The sequence below is a fragment of the Homo sapiens genome, chromosome 18, assembly GCF_000001405.40.
Source record: "Homo sapiens chromosome 18, GRCh38.p14 Primary Assembly".
NCBI classification, from domain to species: Eukaryota; Metazoa; Chordata; class Mammalia; order Primates; family Hominidae; genus Homo; species Homo sapiens.
The window spans coordinates 49506832-49528157 of record NC_000018.10 but is presented as its reverse complement, the minus strand read 5'-3'; the positions used below and the strand labels follow the sequence as shown (position 1 = coordinate 49528157).

Genomic DNA, 21326 nt, shown 5'->3' with positions numbered 1-21326 from the left:
GTAGCTATCTGCTTAGGAACAAAAGGCAGCTTCTTGCATGACTCAGCTTTCAGCTTGATTTTTTCCTTTGGCATGGTGAATTGGGGTCCTGAGTTTTTGATTTTCCTTTCACACCTGTTTGAATAATGGAGCAGGGAATCTTTTATGGAAAGACAACGGGGATAGCTTCTAAAGTTTTTCAGCCATTTTTCTGGCATATTTGGGCCACCCTAGAAGTACCACTTGCATGACTGGCAGTACTTCCTCAGGCGTATCCCATCCTGCTGTGGCCATCCAGTTACTTGCCTCCCCAGGTCCCATCTCATGTCTTATCCTGACACAAATTGGGAGGTCCAGAGTCACGGGCTCCTGTGAGAATTCTAAATTCCTCAGTAAATTTTTTGAGGTTTTCTCTAAGGTTTGGAAAATCTTTTGCTATGACTCTGAGTTCAATTTTTCACCAGTTTTTTTACTCCGTTTTGAGCAAAAGTAGTTATAGGAACCAGACATGGCTGTTCTGAGGGCCTAACTTCCCATCTCTCATCATCTTCAGGGTATAAGCATAACTGGGCAAAAGGATCAGTAGGTGTAAGCTGAGAAAATGGGTGTACAAATATATTGAGAATAAAGGGCGGAAATGGTCAAAGTTATGTCAGTTACCATATAATTATTTTTATTTTCGTCTTTAATTCATCTCTTAAGCTTTTCAGTTTCCTTATTTGCCTTTAGAAAGGAGTCTTTTAGAGAGGCAATTTTGTAACCAATCAACCTTTTAGAAGCCTCCCTCTACCAAACAGGAAATGCATCCCATTGTTTCTGAGACATGTGTGATCCCTCCTTTTCCAATATGCTCCATAAATGAACAGTTTTATCCAGCTCAAAACTTCTCATTGTTGTGAACCTAGGAATTAAGTTTTAGTTTAAAAAAAAAATGTTTTTAACCCATCCCACTGCCACTTTAAATGGTCTCTAGTAAGGTGCATTCATTTCTCTAGAAAACCACAGGTTTGGGGTCCATAATTTCTGAACATATTATTGGCTTGTGTTCTGGACAGAGGACTCCCAGACTCCTTAGATGCTGATGAACACATCATACCTTGTCCCTCTAAAATTTTACCTACCCGAAGCCTCCAGCTGAAGCCAGTCCAGTTCCCACTGAACACCCACTTCAACCTCTGGGTCCAGTCAAAAATAAAATTACTCCTGTAATCCCAATACTTTGAGAGGCTGAGGCAGGAGGATCACTTGAACTCAGGAGTTCAAGGCCAGTCTGGGCAACGTAGCAAGGCCCCCATCTCTACGAAAAAATACATTTTAAAAAATTACCCAGGCATGGTGGCATGTACCTGTAGTCCCAGCTACTCTGGAGGCTTGGATGGGAGGATTGCTTTGAACCCTGCTTTGTCCAAGGCTGCAGTGAGCCATGATCACACCCCTGTACTCCAGCCTGGGTGACAGAGTGAGATCCTGTCTCAAAAAATAAATTAATTAATTAAATAAAATAAAATTACTCAGCCGGACACTGTGGCTCATGCCTGTAATCCCAGCATTTTGGGAGGCAGGCAGATCACTTGAGGTCAGGAGTTCCAAACCAACCTGGCCAACATGGAGAAACCCCATCTCTACTAAAGTATAAAAATTAGCCGGGCATGCTGGCGTGTGCCTGTAATTCCAGCTACTCAGGAGGCTGAGACACGAGAACTGCTTGAACCCAGGGGATGGAGGTTGCAGTGAGCTAGATCGTGCCACTGTACTCCACCCTGAGCAACAGAGCAAGACTCCATATCAAGATAATAATAATAATAATAATAAACAAAATCACTCAAACTTGGAGAACTCAGGACACAAACTGTGGAACTCAAAATCCAAGAGATACTCACTCAGGACCTCCAGACGCAGTGAGAAAGCAGTGAGCACGGTGGGCCCAGCAGGTACCTCATGCCTGCTTCCTTGATGCTCCTGGGGCTTGCTGGGTGTCTTAGTCCATTTTGTGTTGCTAAAACAAAATTCCACAGACTGCATAATTTATAAAGAACAGAGATTTATTTCTCATAGTTCTGGAGGCTGGGAAGTCCAAAGTCAAAGGGCCTGCATCTGACAAGGGCCTTCTTAAGCTGAACTCATCCTTTTTTCAGGAACCCACTCTCTTGATAACTAGCCCACTCTGACTATAATAGCATTACCACATACATGAGGGCAAGCCCTTGTAACCTAATCACCACTCAAAGGTCTCACCTCTCAACACCACTGCTTTAGGAATTAAGTTCCCAACACACAAACTGTTGGGGACACATTCAAACTATAGCTGTAGGACAGGGGTGGTCATCACCTTTGGATCCCTCTTTTGACAGCAAACTGCAAATGAAAAACCTGAAGCACAATAAAATTGCAAACTGTTTATTTGAGTAAGAAGTAATTCATGAATTGGGGACACTGGGCCAAAACAAGTTTAGTATTCCAATGACAAATCATGAGGGGCAAGTATTTTGGGGGTAAATGCAGAAGCAAAATTTAAAAATTATTTGATTATTTTTGCAATTACAAAATTGCCTTTTTTGTTGGAAAGTCCCTAGTTACATAATCATACAAATTGGCTGGTTATGATTAGCTGAGGTTAATTTTTCTGCCTAACATAAGCATTCACCAGAAAAGACTCAAGTTAAGTTTTACCTATATTCACAGTCTTGACCCTGTTAAGTTTCACTGATGTTCACAGTCTAAGCAAGGTTAAGGCTATTTTAAGGGTTAGCTGGTTTTATTTGCTCAGGAATTTTGTTTCTTTTCTTAGAGAGGGGGTCTCCACAGCTCACTGTAACCTCGAACTCCTGGGCTCAAGACATCCTCCTGCCTGAGCCTCCTTAGCGGCTAGGACTACAAGGGCACGCCACCACACACAGCTAACTATATTGCCCAGGCTGGTTTCAAATTCCTGGCCTCAAGTGACCCTCCCAGCTTAGTCTCCCAAAGCACTGGGACTACAGGTGTGAGCCACAGCACCTGGCCTGCTCAGGAATTTTTTAGGCCCAGTCTCCATTTTAATTTTGTTTTAACAAAGGTAGTAATTGATGGAGGCTCTCCTGAATTCCAGACCCACATGTCTGGGGGAAATCAGTGTCATATTTTGGTCACTGACTCAAAGCCCATACCACATCCTATAAAAGCTACAACTTCAGTGTCTCAGGTTAGTGACACCAATTGGTATCACTGTGGGAGGCCAAGGCAGGAGGATCACTTGAGCCCAGAAGTTTGAGACCAGCCTGGGCAACATAGTGAGACTCCATCTCTATTTAAAAGAAGAAGAAAAGAAAAGAAAAAGAAGTCTGGACACCAGCTCCATGTGGCCTCTCTTCTGATGTTCTAATTCCGATGTCCCTAGCCTCTTCTTGTTCCTTCTGCCCCCCACCCTAGGGGTGGTAGCTGCTTTCTGTGCTTACTCTCTCTGGATTAGTTCAGTGTGCTATTTTTGCTCTTTCAGACAATGGGAAGTGAACTGTGGTGGTAAGAAAGGCCAGGGTGTTTGACCCCCTCCCTCTCTGTCTCCAGGGGAGACAATGGCTCCAGCATGGCTCCAATTGCTATCAGCCAGACCAGCTGTGATTCCAGCCTCCTTTGGGTGATCCCAGCCCTTGGCTCTGGTGACACCACCTCCTTCCCTTGACTCTGACCTAAGGATGGTAGGTATTCTTTCTACTGCTATTCTCTGAATGGCGTCATCAGCCCCTGTTCAGCTCCTTATCTCCTGCGTCCCCTGTGTAACTGATGCCCAGCATTGACTCTCCTCTGTTTCACATAGTTACAGTGGTATCTCTTACACTGGTTAGGCTCTGACTGATACCAGTATATTTCTTGATTGATTGAAGGCGCTTACACAAATCCGTACCCTACCTCCATTGTTGCCTGGAAAAATTGTATTTCATGCTTCAAAGTTCAGCTTAAAAATTATTTTCTTTCTGAGGATTTTCTTATCTTCAACTCCCCACCTCATCTCACCTCATTCCCACCCATGAATTCATTGCTGTAACTCTGGGATCTCCTAGTACTTGGCTTCTCCAACATGTCCCATATAATTGTTTTTATGTCTGTCTTCAGCTAGAGTAGGAGTTCCTTTGTTTTTTTTTTAAGACAGGGTCTCTCTCTGTTACCCAGGCTGGAGTGCAGTGGTACAATCATAGCTCACTGCAGTCTCGATCTCCCGGGCTCAAACAATGCTCCCACCTCAGCCTCCCAAGTAGCTGAAACTACAGGCACTCTTTAGTAGAGATGGGGTCTTGCTATGTTGTCCAGGCTGGTCTCAAACTCCTGAGTTCAAGTGATCCTCCTGCCTCAGCCCCCTAAAGTGCTGGGATTACAGGCATGAACCACCACTCCTAGCCTATTTATTTATTTATTTATTTATTTATTTATTTATTTATTTTTGAGACAAAGTCTTGCTCTGTCTCTCAGGTTGGAGTGCAGTAGCGTGATCTCAGCTCACTGCAACCTCCACCACCCGGGTTCAAGCAATTTTCCTGACTCAGCCTCCCAAGTAGCTGGGACTACAGGCATGCGCCACCACGCCCAGCTAATTTTTGTATTTTTAGTAGAGAGCGGGTTTCACCATGTTAACCAGGCTGGTCTCAAACTCCTGACCTCAGGTGATCCACCCACCTCAGCCTCCCAAAGTACTGGGATTATAAGCGTGAGCCACCAGGCCCAGCCTCTAGCCAATTTTTAAAATTGTTATTATTATTATTTTAGACGCAAGGTCTTATTCTGTTCCTCACTTTGGAGTGCAGTGGTGCAACTGGCATGATCATAGCTCAATGCATCCTCAAACTCCTGGGCTCCAACAATTAGGGTGGGAGTTTCTTGATGGCAAAAACTAAATTTTATTCATATAATTTCCTATTTATATATTTGACACATGATAGATACTCAGTAAATATTTATGGATGAATGAAGGAGTGATATTGACTTCTTCTATTAAGACAAAAACAAGAGGCTGGGGAGAGGGTTGACTAGGGACTTATTGCTTAATGGGTGTAGAGTTCCAGTTGGAGAAGAGGAAAATGTTCCAGAGATGGATGGTGGTGGCAGTTGCACAACAACGTGACTGTACTTAATGCCACCGAACTGTATACTTAAAAATGGCCAACATGGTAAATTTTTGTTATATATATTTTACCACAATTTAAAAAAATAAACTAACAACTAAAATACCCTTTATTCTCAACTATAAAATGAAGTTCCACACCCTATGGATCCTCAATTCTCCTTCAAGATCTGTGTCTTCGGAATATTCTCACACTTGCATACAGGGACGGAAGCAAGTCTGTGGGTTTCATTGCAGTCTTATTTGCAATAGCAAGAAAAGGGGTATGGGTAGGGGGAAAGGACAACCTAAATATCCAGTTAGGAAAATGGCTAAATTGTACCATTTCATACTATGGGAGAGTATATAATATTCCAAAGGAATCTATGAAAGCAACATGGATAAATCACAGATAAATCTCACAAACACAGTATTATGTAAAAAATGAAGGCTGCAAATGATATTGACAGTATGATGCCATTTTGTAAACCTTCTCTTTTTTTGAGATGGAGTCTTGCTCTGTTGCCCAGGCTAGAGTGCAGTGGCGCGATCTTGGCTCACTGTAACCTCCACCTCTCGAGTTCAAGTGATTCTCCTGCCTCAGTCTCCCGAGTAGCTGGGACTACAGGTGTGCAGCACCAAGCCTGGCTAATTTTTTGTATTTTTAGTGGAGACAGGGTTTCACCATGTTGGCCAGGCTGGTCTCGAACTCCTGACCTCAAGTGATTCACCCGCCTCAGCCTCCCAAAGTGCTGGGATTACAGGAGTGAACCACCATGCCCAGCCAGATTGCATAAATCTTTAAAATAAGCAAAGCAAAGTATTATTTATGGCAGCATTCATATATATAGTAAAAATATGAAAATCTGCAACTTCATGTTAGTAGTTTGCCCATGGAGAAGGATCTGAAAGGGATGAGTGTATTGGGTTTTAGCTGTGCCTTTAATATTTTATTTCCTACAAAAGGAAGTAGGAAGTAAATATGGCAAATATTACACATTTGTTCAATCAAGTGAATGACTGAACGATAGATGGGGGGTCAATTATATTTTTCTGTACTTTTTTGTATTCTTGAAATATTTCATAATTGAAATCTAAAAATTAAATTAAATTGATAAAATAAAGGTTGGATTCCTTTGTGACCACATACACTTTGACTAACCGGATTCTCACCACATAACAATCTGCCAGCCCAGGCCCTTGCGCACTTACCAACACACACTAGTCAATGTGAGATTCGAATACGAGGAAACACTTGCATTTGGATGATTTGGGCAATTAAAAATCTCACACTACACATGTGCATGTGCACACATGGACACACACCCGAACAAAACAACCAGCCCTACAATGCTAAATTAAAAACCCAAGTGCCCGCTGTAAGATGGCAATAGAATAGAAATGGAGTACTCTCTCTTTTGTATTAAGAAGAAAACCAATTAGGTCACAGCTTGGAAGTAAAATCCTTCCACTAATGAAAGCCTTTGCACGTAAGATGGTTCCCCTGAGGCTGGTAACAATGCTGGCAGAAGAGCGGAGAAGGATACTGATTTCACTTCATCTGGCCCAAGAGCCCTACCAGGGAGAGCCAAGCAAATGGCATTGTGGGGCTTAGTAAGAGGGTAAGATAGGAAGGGAGGGAACCACCTGCCCAGGAGTTCCTGCGACTCACAGAGGAAACTTTGCCAAGGCCTCTAGTGCATGGAATCCCTAAAAAGCTCCCGGCCTAAGTGCCTCCCTACTGCAGAAATCGCTTTCACAGCTGCTCCTGTCAAACCTCCACTTAAACATTTCCAGAGTTGGGGCCCCACTGCTTTTGAGGCAGCCCATTCCATTATTGGACCACTTTAGTTTTTGGAAGATTTGTATTATTTTTTAAGAGAAATAATCAGATCTGACGCAGGAAGCACAATATATAATCACATTGTATAAAATGACCCTGGGTGTGTGAGTGTGTGCACATGTGTTTGGGAGGTCATATGCCAAAATACTAACACTATGAGAGCTGGAATTTCTGATAATTTTTATTTTCTCTTTTTTGCCTGTCTGTATTTTCTAAAATGAACAAATTTACTTGGTAAAGTGGGAAGAGATCATATTACATATTGTTTAGGATTAGTGGGAAGAGATCATATTACATATTGTTCAGGATTAGTGGGAAGAGATCATATTACATATTGTTTAGGATTAGTGGGAAGCCAGGGGTGGTGGCTCATGCCTGTAATCCCAGCACTCTGGGAGAACAAGTTGGGAGGATTGCTTCAGCCTAGGAGTTTGAGATCAGCCTGGGCAACATCGTAGGAACCCTGTATCCATGAAAAAAAAAATTTAGCAGTGCATGGTTGTTGCATGCCTGTAGTCCTGCTACTAGGAGGCTGAGGTAGGAGGATCACTTGAGCCTGAGAGGTCAAGACTGCAGTGAGCCATGATCGCACCACTGCATTCCAGCCTGGATGACAGAGAAAGACTCTGTTTAAAAAAAAAAAAAAAAGATTGGTCACGGTGGCTCACACCTGTAATCCTAGCACTTTGGGACACCGAAGCGAGAGGATCACTTGAGATTAGGAGTTCAAAACCAGCCTGGCCAACATGGTGAAACCGCATCTCTACTAAAAATACAAAAAAAATTAGCCAGGTGTGTTGGTGGGCACCTGTAATCCCAGCTACTTGGGAGTCTGAGGCAGGAGAACTGCTTGAACCCAGGAGGCAGGGGTTGCAGTGAGCCGAGATTGTGCCACTGTACTCCAGCCTGGGCAACAGGGCGAGACTCCATCTCAAAAGAAAGGAAAGAAAAAAAAAAGATTAGTGGGAGATAAAATATTTTTCCTCCCACAAAGGGGAGATAAATCCTTTCATATTTTGCACCCATTGGTCCCAGTTCTGTTGGATCTACCCTCAAGTGGGCAGTGGTCCCAGATGGGGCAGCCAGTCAAAGGCCAGGCCAGAACTTTCTATGCTGCTGTTTCAGCCTGAAGACATGCCACCCAGTATAAGAGAAAGGAAGCTTTTCAGCAGCTGTGGTAAACTTAAGCACGTCCACACTTCAGTGGATTAAGAAAATCAATTTCTTCTCAGAAAAGGGGGTGCTCAGCTGTCATATTCTAATCAGTACTTTCCAGAAATGCAATGAATTTAAAGCCAGTTTAGGTAAAGACAGGTTAGTGGAGAAACGTTTTGGTCTGAGCGATTCAGGAGAAGAAAATTACAATCCCTGGCATTTGCATAGCCCTTTGAGAGAAAATCTTCCACAGGCATGAGCTTACGTGACTTAACCCAGAATACCCTCTCCCCACACCACCCCAACCAAAACACACAATGCATCCAAAACATTGCATGGGTATGCATATTCAGTTTACAGGGAAGAAGGGCCTCATTGCATCAGATTCTCTAAGAGGTCTGTTAAAGGGTTAGGGCCACTGGTCTGATAGATGCAGCTCATAACTGGTTTTTAGCAAACTAAGTCCGGGTCCTCATCTATTGAAAAGCAGTGTTGGGTGACATGATCTCTGTAACCTCTTCCAGCTCCTGCTGCCCCTGTCTTTGTTACACTCTCCAGGCACTTGGGAGTCAGAACTTTTTCCAGGGCCTAGAGGTGACCTGACCTTCACCATCTATCACGGCCTGCCCCAGGACCTGTCATGGAGTGATGAGGACGTCTCCCTGCCTGGTGGTGGGATTTGCAGCCAATAAAGCCCTCCACCAGGCAAGAGGATTGTGAGACCTGTCTGGCTACAATTTATTCTCCTTGGTCACTTTGACTGACTGCAGCCAAGTGCCAGGGGAAATTTGAATTTGAATGCTGCTGCCTGTGAAATTAGCTTAGAAAAATATACAGGCTCTCTTCAACAATGGGCAATTCCAGCTGAATCTAAAGAGCCACAATTGGGGTGGGATAAACAGACGCTGTCCAGTTCGGGAGAGTCTCAGGAAACCAGGGGGAGATTAACTTCTTACTGGAGGGAGCACGTTAGCCTGCAGCAGAGGCAGTCGCTCAGCTTAAAAAGGATGAATGGAGGCAGGAGAGACCAGAAGTGATGGGGGATAAGTCAGAAAAACATTATTAAGCTCATCTGAAGAATACATTCAGGAAGTCATGGGTGTAAGCAAGAAAAGGGCAGCTTCGAAAACAGATGTGCAAGCACAGTTGTTGCAGCGAGGTGTGTGTAGGAGCAAAAGGTTGGAGGCAACCTACGTGTGCATCCCTGGGAGACCGCTGAAACATACTGGGGAATACTATGTGGCCATTGAAAAGAATGTGGTAGAGGCCGGGTGCCGTGGCTCATGCCTGTAATCCCAGCACTTTGGGAGGCCAAGGTGGACGGGTCACCTGAGGTCAGGAGTTCGAGACCAGCCTGGCCAATACGGCAAAACTCTGTCTCTACTAAAAATACAAAAATTAGCCGGGTGTGGTGGCAGCCTCCTGTAGTCCCAGCTACTCAGGAGGCTGAGGGAGGGAGAATTATTTGAACCTGGGAGGTGGAGGTTGCAGTGAGCCGAGATTGGGCCACTGCACTCCAGCCTGGGCGACAGAGTGAGACTCCATCTCAAAAAAATAAGAAAAAGAAAAAAAAAGAATGTAGTAGATCAATGTGGACCGATATAGAAAAAACTCCACTTTTTCTTTGCTAAGTAAAGAAAAAAGCAAGGCATAGAAAAGCATGAAACGTATATGTGGAATATGTTATGTTTTATGCTTTTAAAGGGAAAATGCTTATAGATTTGTATTATCTCTCTGAAAGAATTCCCAAGAAACAGATCAGGAGTGGAAGGGAGACTCACTTTTCACCTTCTACCTTTCTAGACTTTTTAAATTATTTACTATGTGCCTGTATTCCTGTTTGAAAGTGTAAATAAGTGAATAATGTTAAAAAAGGAGAAGGAGGGGAAAGCAGTAGTTGCTGTCCTCCCTCCAAAGTCAGCTCTGCCACGGAGCCATCTTCCCTTTCCAGATGGGATGGTTAACTTCATGTGCCAACTTGGTGAGCCACGGTACCCAGATAGTTGGTGAAACATTATTCCAGATGTTTCTTCGAAAGTATTTTTGGGGAGTTTTTTTGTTTTGTTTTGAGATGGAATTTCACTATTGTTGCTCAGGCTGGAGTGCAGTGGTGTAATCTCGGCTCACTGCAACCTCCACCTCCCATGTTCAAGCAATTCTCCTGCCTCAGCCTCCCAAGTAGCTGGGATAACAGGCATGTGCCACCACGCACAACTAATTTTTTTTTTTTTTTTTTTTTTTTTTTAGTATTTTTAGTAGAGACAGGGCTTCACCATGTTGCCCAGGCTGGTCTCGAACTCCTGACCTCAAGTGATCCACCCACCTCCACCTCCCAAAGTGCTGGAATGAGATTAAATTTAAATCAATAGGCTTTGAGTAAATTAGATGACCCTCCATTGAATGGGTGGGCCTCATCCAATCAGTGGAAGGCCTGCATAGAAAATAATTCCTTCTTGCTCAGGGGCAAGAAGGAATTCTGCCAGCAGACTGCCTTTGGACTCAAACTGCAATTCTTCACTGGGTTTCCAGGCTGCAGGCCTACCCTGCAGATTTTGGACTTGCCAGCCTCCATCATCACGTGAGCCAATGCCTTAAAATAAACTTCTCTATAGATATATACTCTGTTGGTCCTCTTGATCTGGAGAGCACTGACACTAGGGCTTGAGAGAATCTCTGAGCCCAGGCTTGTGCATAGACACAAGTGAGGTGGCCTTTGCTACCTGCTGGGGAAAGGGTGGGGTCTGCAAATCGTTCACGTGGAAACTGGACACTGACCTCACTCTGGGGTCAGAGCTGGGAGGAAGGTGGGTCTGGCCAGGCCTCTCCCTGCATATGAAGCAACCACCCGTAGCTCTCCCATGGACACTTTGAGTACTCCCCAAGCATGAACTGGAAGCTCTATTTGCTTCCTCCTGGCCCTTCCTCACAATCTTTCTTTTCTGTTTCCTCTCTCACTCTCCAAGTCCTTTCCCTTCCATGTCTTCCTTGTGAACAAGGTTACACCAATAAGGCAAAAGTAAAAATGTTGCTATGTTGCTGTTTCCTCCCCAGCTATGAGCCTATTCGCCTCAGTTCAGTTACTCCTCATGGCTTCCAGGGCCAGCAAGTTCTGCTGAGCAGAAAAGACAGTCGATCAGCTGGTTACTTTGTCTCAAAAGACCCAAATAGTAAGTTTGACCATTGTCCTCTGCTTTCATTGACCAGATAAAACCAGGTGATTCAGGTCAAAATGATTGAAAATGACATGTATATACCGGGCGCAGTGGCTCATGCCTGTATTCCCAGCACTTTGGGAGGCTGAGGCAGGCGGATCATTTGAGGTCAGGAGTTTGAAACCAGCCTGGCCACCACGGTGAAACCCCATCTCTACTAAAAATACAAAAATTTAGCCAGGTGCGGTGGCGTGCTCCTATAATCCCAGCTACTTGCGTGGCTGAGGCAGAAGAATCGCTTGACCCCAGGAGGGAGAGGTTGCAGTGAGCCGAGATCACGCCACTACACTGCAGCCTGGGTAACAGAGCAAGACTCCATCTCAAAAAAACAAAAAAAGAAAGAAAGAAAAAATGACATGTACAAATACTCTTTTTTTTCTCCCTTCCCAACTCATGATACACTGCATTATTCATTCAGATTGTGTTATTCATTCCTTATTCCACCATGAAATATGGCATAAAATAATCTCAGACCTTGTATTGGGTGGTCCCTTTACACTAAGTCTCCTTCCCCATATTCCAAATTCAATTAAGTAGTCAATCTGGAAAGACATACTGAAATCAGTTATGATGAAGGCAGCACACTAGCCACTGAAAAGATTCAAAAGGGCAGAAAAAGAGCTTATGGACAAGACAAGTGGATAAAGCGCAACACATAAATAGATCATAATAAGCAAAGCAGTATAAGGCTAAAGAAGTGACAGATAAGAGGAGAGCAGTCACCGTGGGCTGGAGTGTCTCAGAAGGCTCTGGCCTTGAAGATACATAGGAGGGCATTAAAAATAGATAAAAGTTTAAAAAATAATCCTGCTTTACCTTCTGTTACATCATTTAATCCCTATAGCTACCCAGCAGGGGAGGTGGTTCAGGCAAATCTTCCCATTGTCAGGCGGGTTCAGTTCAAGGAAACCAAATGTTTCCTGCCACACACCAGGAAGGGATGTTCAAAGAGGCCAGTTGCTTTCACCAATGTTATGCAGCATGTCAATGCCAGAATCAGGGCTGGAGCCAGGTTTCCAAACTCCATAGTTGGTGCTCTGGTCATTGAATGAGAGAGATCGACAAGGATTTCCAGGCAAGTGCATTCAGGCAGAAAGGCCCAGAGGCACAAGGGAGAGGAGCCAAGAAAAGTGGGCACCCATTCTCATTCTTATAGGACATGTATGCACACATGTGCATGTGCACACACACACATGCACACTACATTTTCCTCAAATTACACTTCTGCCTGAGAGAGTATGAACAAGCAAAGCCTTATGCACGCATCAACGACACCAGGATTCAAGAGGACAGCTTTGACCTCTAGGCTCTTGCCCCCCCATAGGAATTGAGCTCCAAATTCATTCAGCAGGATTAGTATGATGATAGAAAAGCTTGCATTTGAGGCCGGGCATGGTGGCTCATGCCCATAATCCCAGCACTTTGGGAGACCAAATTGGGCAAATCGCTTGAGGTCAGGAGTTCGAGACCAGCCTGGCCAACATGGCGAAGCCCTGTCTCTACTAAAAAATACAAAAATTAGCCGAGCGTGGTGGTGCCCATCTGTAATCCCAGCTATGCGGGAGGCTGAGGCAGGAGAATCACTTGAACTTGGGAGGTGGAGCTTGCAGTGAGCCGAGATTGCGCCACTGTACTCCAGCCTGGGCAACAGAGCAAGACTCAGTCTCAAAAATAAATAAATAAATAAATAAATAAATAAATAAATAAATAAATAAATAAGCTTGCATTTGAGTTTGTCTGACTTTATGTCAGAAACTCATAGAAGAAGTAATAGTGTAATAACTCTGTTTAGCCAAATAAATAAATGGAGCTTTATCAATCCATGCAAAGTTATGCACATTATCCCAGAGCTGATAGTTTCAGCCATACACAAGAGAATTATCACCAAGACAAGCAATTTGTTCTAGGAGCAGTAAATTGTGGGGTGAGTAGTTTACTTCAGTCATTGGTCTGGGCCTTCCAAATGGACAAGACTCCACCGTCGGGTGACCAGCCTGGATACGCTATCACTGGGAGCTGTTACAAGCCCAGCTGATGTGAACAGAAAAGGAATGAGTGTGACCTGCCAAGAGATACCGGACAGTGGCCTCCACTTTCTCTGCCTAGGTCGGCCAGTCTCCTTATCGGCACAGTCAGGATAATAAAACTCCAGGTTTATTTGGATCCCTCAGAGGACACTGCCACGTGGGAACAACTGAGCTGTCATCTTGGACTTTACTCCCCAGCAGACTCAGTGGGGAAAGCGGGGAACATTCTGGGGACCTCGGTAGAGGGGCTTCAGACCTGGATAGATTCCCAAGCAGGGTAAAGTTCAACTTCCTCCAGGATATTTCTTTCCGCTGCTGCTGGGTTTTGCAATGTCCTCCCTTCATATTATCTAGAAATCCAGACCCTCTGCTTTTTTTTTTTTTTTTTTTTTTTTTTTTTTTTGAGATGAAGTCTCACTCTGTTGCCCAGGCTGGAGTGCAGTGGCACCATCTCAGCTCATTGCAACTTCTGCCTCCCAGGTTCAAGCAATTCTCCCTGTCTCAGCCTCCCGAGTAGCTGGGATTACAGGTGCCAGCTACAACACCCGGCTAATTTTTGCATTTTTAGTAGAGATGGGGTTTTTTGTCATGTTGGCCAGGCTGGTCTTGAACTCCTGACCTCAGGTGATCCGCCCGCCTCGGCCTCCCAAAGTGCTAAGATTACAGGCGTGAGCCACTGTACCCAGCCTATTTTACGATTTTATAAGTTACAGACAAATTATAACAACGGAAAATAGGCTGGGCACAGTAGCTCACACCTGTAATCCCAGCATTTCGGGAGGCCAAGGCGGATGGATCAGTTGAGGTCAGGAGTTCAAGACCAGCCTGGCCAACATGGTGAAACCTCGACTGTACTAAAAATACAAAAATTAGCCGGGTGTGGTGGCAGGCACCTGTAATAACAGCTACTCAGGAGGCTGAGGCACGAGACTTGCTTGAACCTGGGAGGCAGAGGTTGCAGTGAGCTGACATCACACCATTTCACTCCAGCTTGAGTGACAGAGCAAGAGTCCATATCACAAAAAAAAAAAAGGAAAATAATTATCATTTAAACACATGCAAACAAACTCCATCCAGTGGAGTGACAATTCTCCCACTTCACCACCACCACCATTAAGGAAAAACCTGTTTTAGGCTGGATGTGGTGGCTCACGCCTGTAATCCCACCACTTTGGGAAGTTGAGGCAGGTGGATCACCTGAGGTCAGGAGTTCAACACCAGCCTGACCAACATGGTGAAACCCTGTCTCTACTAAAAATACAAAAATTACCCAGGCATGGTGGATTATGACCACGTGCCTGTAATCCCAGCTACTAGGGAGGCTGAGGCAGGATAATTGCTTGAACCCAGGAGGTGGAGGTTGCAGTGAGCCAAGATTGCACCACTGCACTCCAGCCTGTGCTACAGAGCCAGACTCCGTCTCAAAAGAAAAAAAAAGTTTCACCTCCACTACACCTTTATTTTAATATTCCCAATCTTCTTTGGATTGTCCTTTTTTTTTGAGTCTCCCTCTGTCACCCAGGCTCGAGTGCATGGCACAATCTCGGCTCACTGCAATCTCCTCCTCCTGGGTTCAAGCAATTCTCCTGCCTCAGCCTCCTGAGTAGCTGGGATGACAGGCACGCGCCACCACACCTGGCTAATTTTTATATTTTTAGTAGAGACAGGGTTTCACCATCTTGGCCAGGCTGGTCTCTAACTCTTGACCTCAGGCGATCCACGCACCTGGGCCTCCCAAAGTGCTGGAATTACAGGCATGAGCCACCGCACCTGGCCTGGATTGTCCTTTGTTTTTGTTTTGTTTTGTTTTATTGTTTTTTGAGACACAGTCTCACTCTGTCACCCCGGCTGGTATGCGGTGGCATGATCTCAGCTCACTGCAACCTCTGCTTCCCGAGTTCAGGTGATTCTCCTGCCTCAGCCTCCAAAGTAACTGGGATTACAAGTGCATGCCACCATGCCTGGCTAATTTTATATTTTTAGTAGAGACAGGATTTCACCAGCCTTGGCCTCCCAAAGTGCTGGTATTACAAGCATGAGCCACCACACCTGGCCTGGATTGTCCAGTTTTCTTCTTAACTAGTTAAATATAATCTTTTTTTTTTTGAGACAGGGTCTCGCTCTGGTGCCCAGGCTGGAGTGCAGTGGTGTGATCGTGGCTCACTGTAGCGTTGATTTCCAGGCTCAGCGATTCTCTCACCTCGGCCTCCAGAGCAGTTGGAACCATAAACACGGGCCAACAAACCTGGCTATTTTTATTATTATTATTTTTTGTAATGATGGGATCTCGCTACATTGCCCAGGCTAGTCTCCAACTCCTGGGCTTAAGCGATCCTCCTGCCTCAGCCTCCCAAAGTGCTGGGGTTACAGGCATAAACCACCATGCCCAGCAAAATCTTATCATGTATTAACTTTTTAAAAAAATCTACTCCTGGCCAGGTGCAGTGGCTCACGTCTGTAATCCCAGTGCTTTGGGAGGCTGAGGCAGGTGGATCAGTTAAGAGTTCAAGACCAGCCTGGCCAACATGGTGAAACCCTGTCTCTACTAAAAATACAAAATTTAGCTGGGCGTGGTGGCAGGCGCCTATAATCCCAGCTACTCGGGAGGCTGAGGCAGGAGAATCTCTTGAACCCAGGAGGTGGAAGTTGCAGTGAGCTGGGATCATGCCACTGCACTTCAGCCTGGGAGACAGAGTGAGACTTCGTTTAAAAAAAGAAAAAGAAAAATCTACCCCTGATAATTCCCACCTATTGGATTTAGTTCTGCACCCTCATCCATGCTGTGATCCAAGTCCCAGAAGACTGTCAACGTGGATCCCACTCCAGGGTCTTTTCTGTTCCAGGCCAAACATTCCCAATCTACCTAGTAATACACTAATTACAAGCTGCAAATCGGACAGGCCTGGTTTGAAATCCCTTGTCTACAACTTTATGCCTAAGTACCCTTGGCAAGTTACTCAGTATTGCTTATCTTCATTTCCCTCACCTGTGTAAAGGGAATAGAAATGCCCACTCCAGGCCAGCCGTGGTGGCTCACGCCTGTAATCCCAGCACTTCGGGTGGCTGGGGCAAGCAGATCACTTGAGGTTAGGAGTTCAAGATCAACCTGGCCAACATGGAGAAACCCCCTCTCTACCAAAAAATACAAAAACTGGGCTGGGCGCAGTGGCTCAGGCCTGTAATCCCAGCACTTTGGGAGGCCGAGGTGGGAAGATCATTTGAGGTCAGGAATTAAAGACCAGCCTGGCCAACATGGTGAAACCCCATCTCTACTAAAAAATACAAAAATTAGGTCGGGCGCAGTGGCTCATGCCTATAATCCCAGCACTTTGGGAGGCTGAGGCAGGCAAATCATGAGATCAAGAGATCAAGACCATGCTGGCCAACATGGTGAAACCTCGTCTCTACAAAAAATACAAAAATTAGCTGGGTGTGGTGGCACGCATCTATAGTCCCAGCTTCTTGGGAAGCTGAGGCAGGAGAATCACTTGAACCCAAGAAGCAGAGGTTGCAGTGAGCCGAGGTCATGCCGCTGCACTCCAGCCTGGTGACTGAGCGAGACTTCGTCTCATAAATAAATAAATACAAAAATTAACCAGCGTGGTGGCGGGCTCCTTTAATCCCAACTACTTGGGACATTGAGGCAGGAGAATCGCTTGAACCCATGGAGGCAGAGGTTGCAGTGAGCCGAGATCATGCCACTGCACTCCAGCCTGCACGACAGAGTGAGACTCCGTCTCAAAAAAAATTTTTTTATATATATATACAAAAAATTAGCCGGGCATGGTGGCACATGCCTGTAATCCCAGCTACTTAGGAGGCCGAGGCAAAAGAATCACTTGCACCTGGGTCTTAAAAGAAAAAAAAATTGCCCACCTCAGAGACGTATGTCAGACAGACTCCAAGATGGCCCCTGCGGCATTCACCTGCTGGTACTCATTCTCTTGTGCCACCCTGGGGAGCAGGGACAGGGTGCTCCACGCACCCTTTGCCCACAAAAATGATGGGGGAAAGCTTCTTCCGACGCTGAACTGGTGCCATCTAGTGGCCCATGGTGTCCCTCAGCCACTCCACCACAGAAATGAAGTTTTTGTGAATAGTAGTATTTAGGGCTTCTTTCCGGACTAACCCTTGGCAATATCCAAGACAAGTTTTCCCATAATTTTGGTATCCCTTTTCTGAAATTCTCTCCCATGACAGGCAGGTGTAATGGAAAGAAAGCAAACAGTGTCAGGCTCACCTAGCTCTATGCATAATGCATCCCCAACCACTTACTGCCTGTAGGGCCTTGGGCAAACTACCAAACTTCCCTGAGCCCCAAGTTCATCCTCTGTAAAACGTGGGTCGTACAATCCTCCTTACAAAGTGATTCTGGGAAATATGTGGGAGGAACCATACCCAGTGCTCAACATGCAAGTAGATGCTCACTAAATAATTAGCTGTATTTTCGTGTCTTCCCCTTTATCATCGTTCCATCCTATCTTCTCTCTGGGCTCCAGAATTACTTTCCATTACCTAAAATATTCATTGACACTAAGAAGCGTGAGACTGAATGTATTCCTCTCCCCAGGAACACAAAGGATTCATGCCAGGAGGCCTGGGGTTCCGTCCTGCTCCAGGTCTGCCATTTACTGGGTTAGTTAACCTTTCTCGTAACACAAAAATTGCGTTGTAAAGATTATTTGATTTAACAAATGCGAAGTAACTCACATAAAATAAGCATTCAGGCCGGGTGCAGTGGCTCATGCCTGTAATCCCAGCACTTTGGGAGGCCAAGGAGGGCGAATCACTTGAAGTCAGGAGTTCGAAACCAGTCTGGCCAACATGGCGAAACCCTGTTTCTACTTAAAAAAAAAAAATACAAAAATTAGCCGGGCATGCTGGCGTGCACTTGTAATTCCAGCTACTTGGGAGGCTGAGGCACTTGAATCTCTTGAGCCTGGGAGGCGAAGTTTGCAGTGAGCCGAGATCATGCCACTGCACTCCAGACTGGGAGATAGAGTGAGACTCTGTCTCAAAAAAAAAAAAAAGCATTCAATAAATATTAATATTCATTCCAGAAATAGATGAATTTTACAAGAGGAAAGATGGAAGGAGGCAACTCTAACATAATTAGTCACTGGTGGAATTTTAGAAATGAAGTCAGATATCCAGGCACGAATCGTATCTAACTGCATTGCCGACTCTACATAGGTATGTTAATCCCAGTCTCATTGTCCCCTTCAAGTTTTTAGAAGAGTATTTGTCACTGGGTATGTAGAGCAAATCAACTCTTTAATAATTGTTAGTACAAAGGAGTTAGCACGTTGAAAAGAAATGGAACATGGTGAAGAGGAGGACGGGGAAGCGGCTGACTGCACATATAGACAATGCTCACGCAGCTGAACCATCATTTATTGCCAGGGCATGGTGGTTACTCCTGACTCTGTCCATCACCCAGGGTCCCAGCTGGAAACAGAATTCGCCAAGTGTAGCTCAAGTGAAAAAAACCCTAATGAAGGGACTCCCAGTAGAGGCATAGATAGAGTTAAGGGAGCAAACAAACAAAGACTGGTCACCTTCCCTTGGATAGAGGAGGAAAGGAGAAGATGGAGCTACTAGAGCCCGGTGAGACCTGAAATCATAGAAGAAGACCACCATCGGGAGCAGGGATCATGGAGGAAACAACTAGTGTCAGATTCTCCATTGCAAGCAAGAGACAGCCCTGGACTTTGGAGATTTTTGTCTGTAGAATTTTCCCTTGTGTGTGTGATTAATTTGACTATTTTAAAAATTTTTTTAATTAACACATAATAATTATACATATTTATGGGGTACATAATGATGTTTTGATACACATCATGTATAGTGATCGGATAGATCAAGGTAATTCACATACCCATGATCTCAAACATTTATCATTTCTTTGTGTTGGGAACATTCAATATCCTCCCTCTAGCTATTTGAAACTATATATTATTGTTAACTATAGTCATCCTACAGTGGTAGAGAACATTAAACCTTATTCCTCTTATCTAGCTGTAATTTTGTATCCTTTAGCAAATCTCTCCCTATCCCTTTCCCTACCCTTCCAGCTTCTAGTATCCTCTGTTCTACTTTTTACTTCTATGAGATAAACTTTTTAGCTTCCACACATGAATGAGAATGTGCAGGATTTAACCTGCTGTTCTGGTTGGTTTTTTTTTGTTTTTTTTTTTTTTTTGGAGATGGAGTTTTGCTCGTCACCCAGGCTGGAGTGCAATGGTGCGATCTCAGCCCACCGCAACCTCTCACTCCTGGATTCAAGCAATTCTCCTGCCTCAGCCTCCTGAGTAGCTGGGATTACAGGCGACCGCCATCATGACCAGCTACTTTTTGTATTTTTAGTAGAGATGGGGTTTCAACATGTTGGCCAGGCTGGTCTTGAACTCCTGACCTCAGGTGATCTGCCCACCTCAGCCTCCCAAAGTGCTGGGATTACAGGCGTGAGCCACCGCGCCTGGCATCTGGCTTATTTCACTTAACATAATGTCCTCCAGTTCCAGCCATGTTGCCGCAAATGACAGAATTTCATTCACTTTTATGGCCGAATAGTATTCCATTTTGTATTTATATCACGATTTCTTTATACATTCATCTGTTGTTAAACACCTATGTCATTTCCATATCTTGGCTAGTGCAAATATTGCTGCAATAAACATGAGGATGCAGAGGTTTCTTCAATATACTGATCTCCTTTCCTTTGGGTAAATGCCCAGTAGTGGAATTGCTGGATCATATGATAGTTCTATTTGTAGTTTTTTAAGGATCCTCCATACAGTTCTCCATAGTGGCCATACTAGTTTACATTCCCAGCAGCAGTGCATAAGAATTCTCTTTTCTCTACATACTTGCTAGCATTTGTTAGCTTTTGTCTTTTTGATAATAGCAGTTCTAACTGGGAAGAGATGATACCTCGTTGTGGTTTTAATTTGCATTTCCCTGATGATTAGTGATGTTGAGCATTTTTTCATCTATTTATTTGCCATATGTACATCTTCTTTTAAGAAATGTCTGTTCAGGTCATTCACCCACTTTTTAATTAGATTGTTTGATTTTTTGCTGTTGAGATGTTTGAGTTCCTTGCGTATTCTAGATATTAATTCCCTGTTAGATAAATAGTTTGAAAATACTTTCTCCCATTCTTTAAGTTGTCTTTTCACTGTGTTGACTGTTTTCTTTGCTGTGCTGAAGCTTTTTAGTTTGATATCATCCCATTTGTTTATTTTTGCTTTTTCTGCTTTTGTTGCTTTTGAGGTCTTACTCATAAAATATTTTCCCAAGCCAATGTCCTCAAGTGTTTGTCCTATGTTTTCTCCTAGTAGTTTTGTTTTTTGTTTGTTTCTGTTTTTGTTTTTGTTTGTTTTGAGATGCAGTTTTGCTTTTTTGCCCAGGCTGGAGTGAAGTGGTGCAATCTCGGCTCACTGCAACCTCCGCCCCCCAGGTTCAAGTGATTCTCCTGCCTCAGCCTCCCAAGTAGCTGGGATTACAGGAGCCCACCACCACACCTGGCTAATTTTTTGTATTTGGTAGAAATGGGGTTTCACCATGTTGGCCAGGCTGGTCTTGAACTCCTGACCTCACGTGTGATCCACCTGCCTCGGCCTCCCAAAGTGCTAGGATTACAAGCGTGAGCCACTGCACCTGACCGTCTCCTAGTAGTTTTATAGTTTTAAATCTTACATTTAGGTCTTTGATGCATTTTCAGTTGATTTTTGTATAGCGTGAGAGGTGGGGTTCTAGTTTAATTTTTCTGCATAAAAATAACCAGAATCATTTATTGAAGTGATCACCCTTTGCTCAATGAGTGTTCTTGGCATCTTGGTCAAAAATCAGTTGGCTATAGTTACATGAATTTACTTCTGGGTTCTCTATTCTGTTCCATTGGTTTATGTGTCTGTTTTTATGCCAGTACCATGCTGTTACTATAGCTTTGTAGTATATTTTAAAGTCTTGTAGCATCATGCCTCCAGCTTTGTACTTTTTGCTCATGCCTCCAGCTTTGTACTTTTTGCACAGGA

At 44.3% G+C, this 21326-nt stretch overlaps 1 long non-coding RNA gene across 1 annotated transcript in view, besides 1 other annotated feature; it reads right to left on the bottom strand.

The window, feature by feature from the left end:
* Positions 1-631: 631 nt before the first annotated feature.
* Positions 632-21326, bottom strand: part of LINC02837 (long intergenic non-protein coding RNA 2837) — a 28150-nt gene continuing 7455 nt past the window's right edge. Inside the window, exons 3-4 of the long non-coding RNA NR_183517.1 lie at positions 1860-1975; positions 632-880 (exon numbers count right to left, since the gene is read on the bottom strand). This is a non-coding gene — a long non-coding RNA (long intergenic non-protein coding RNA 2837). The remainder of the gene's footprint in view (positions 881-1859; positions 1976-21326) is intronic.
* Positions 11870-12484: an enhancer, noted in NCBI's record as "OCT4-NANOG hESC enhancer chr18:47042044-47042658 (GRCh37/hg19 assembly coordinates)". NCBI's record gives its function as "activates a minimal SCP1, AML or CMV promoter by ChIP-STARR-seq in primed H9 embryonic stem cells {active_cell/tissue: H9 hESC(primed)}" and the evidence as "EXISTENCE:reporter gene assay evidence [ECO:0000049][PMID:30033119]".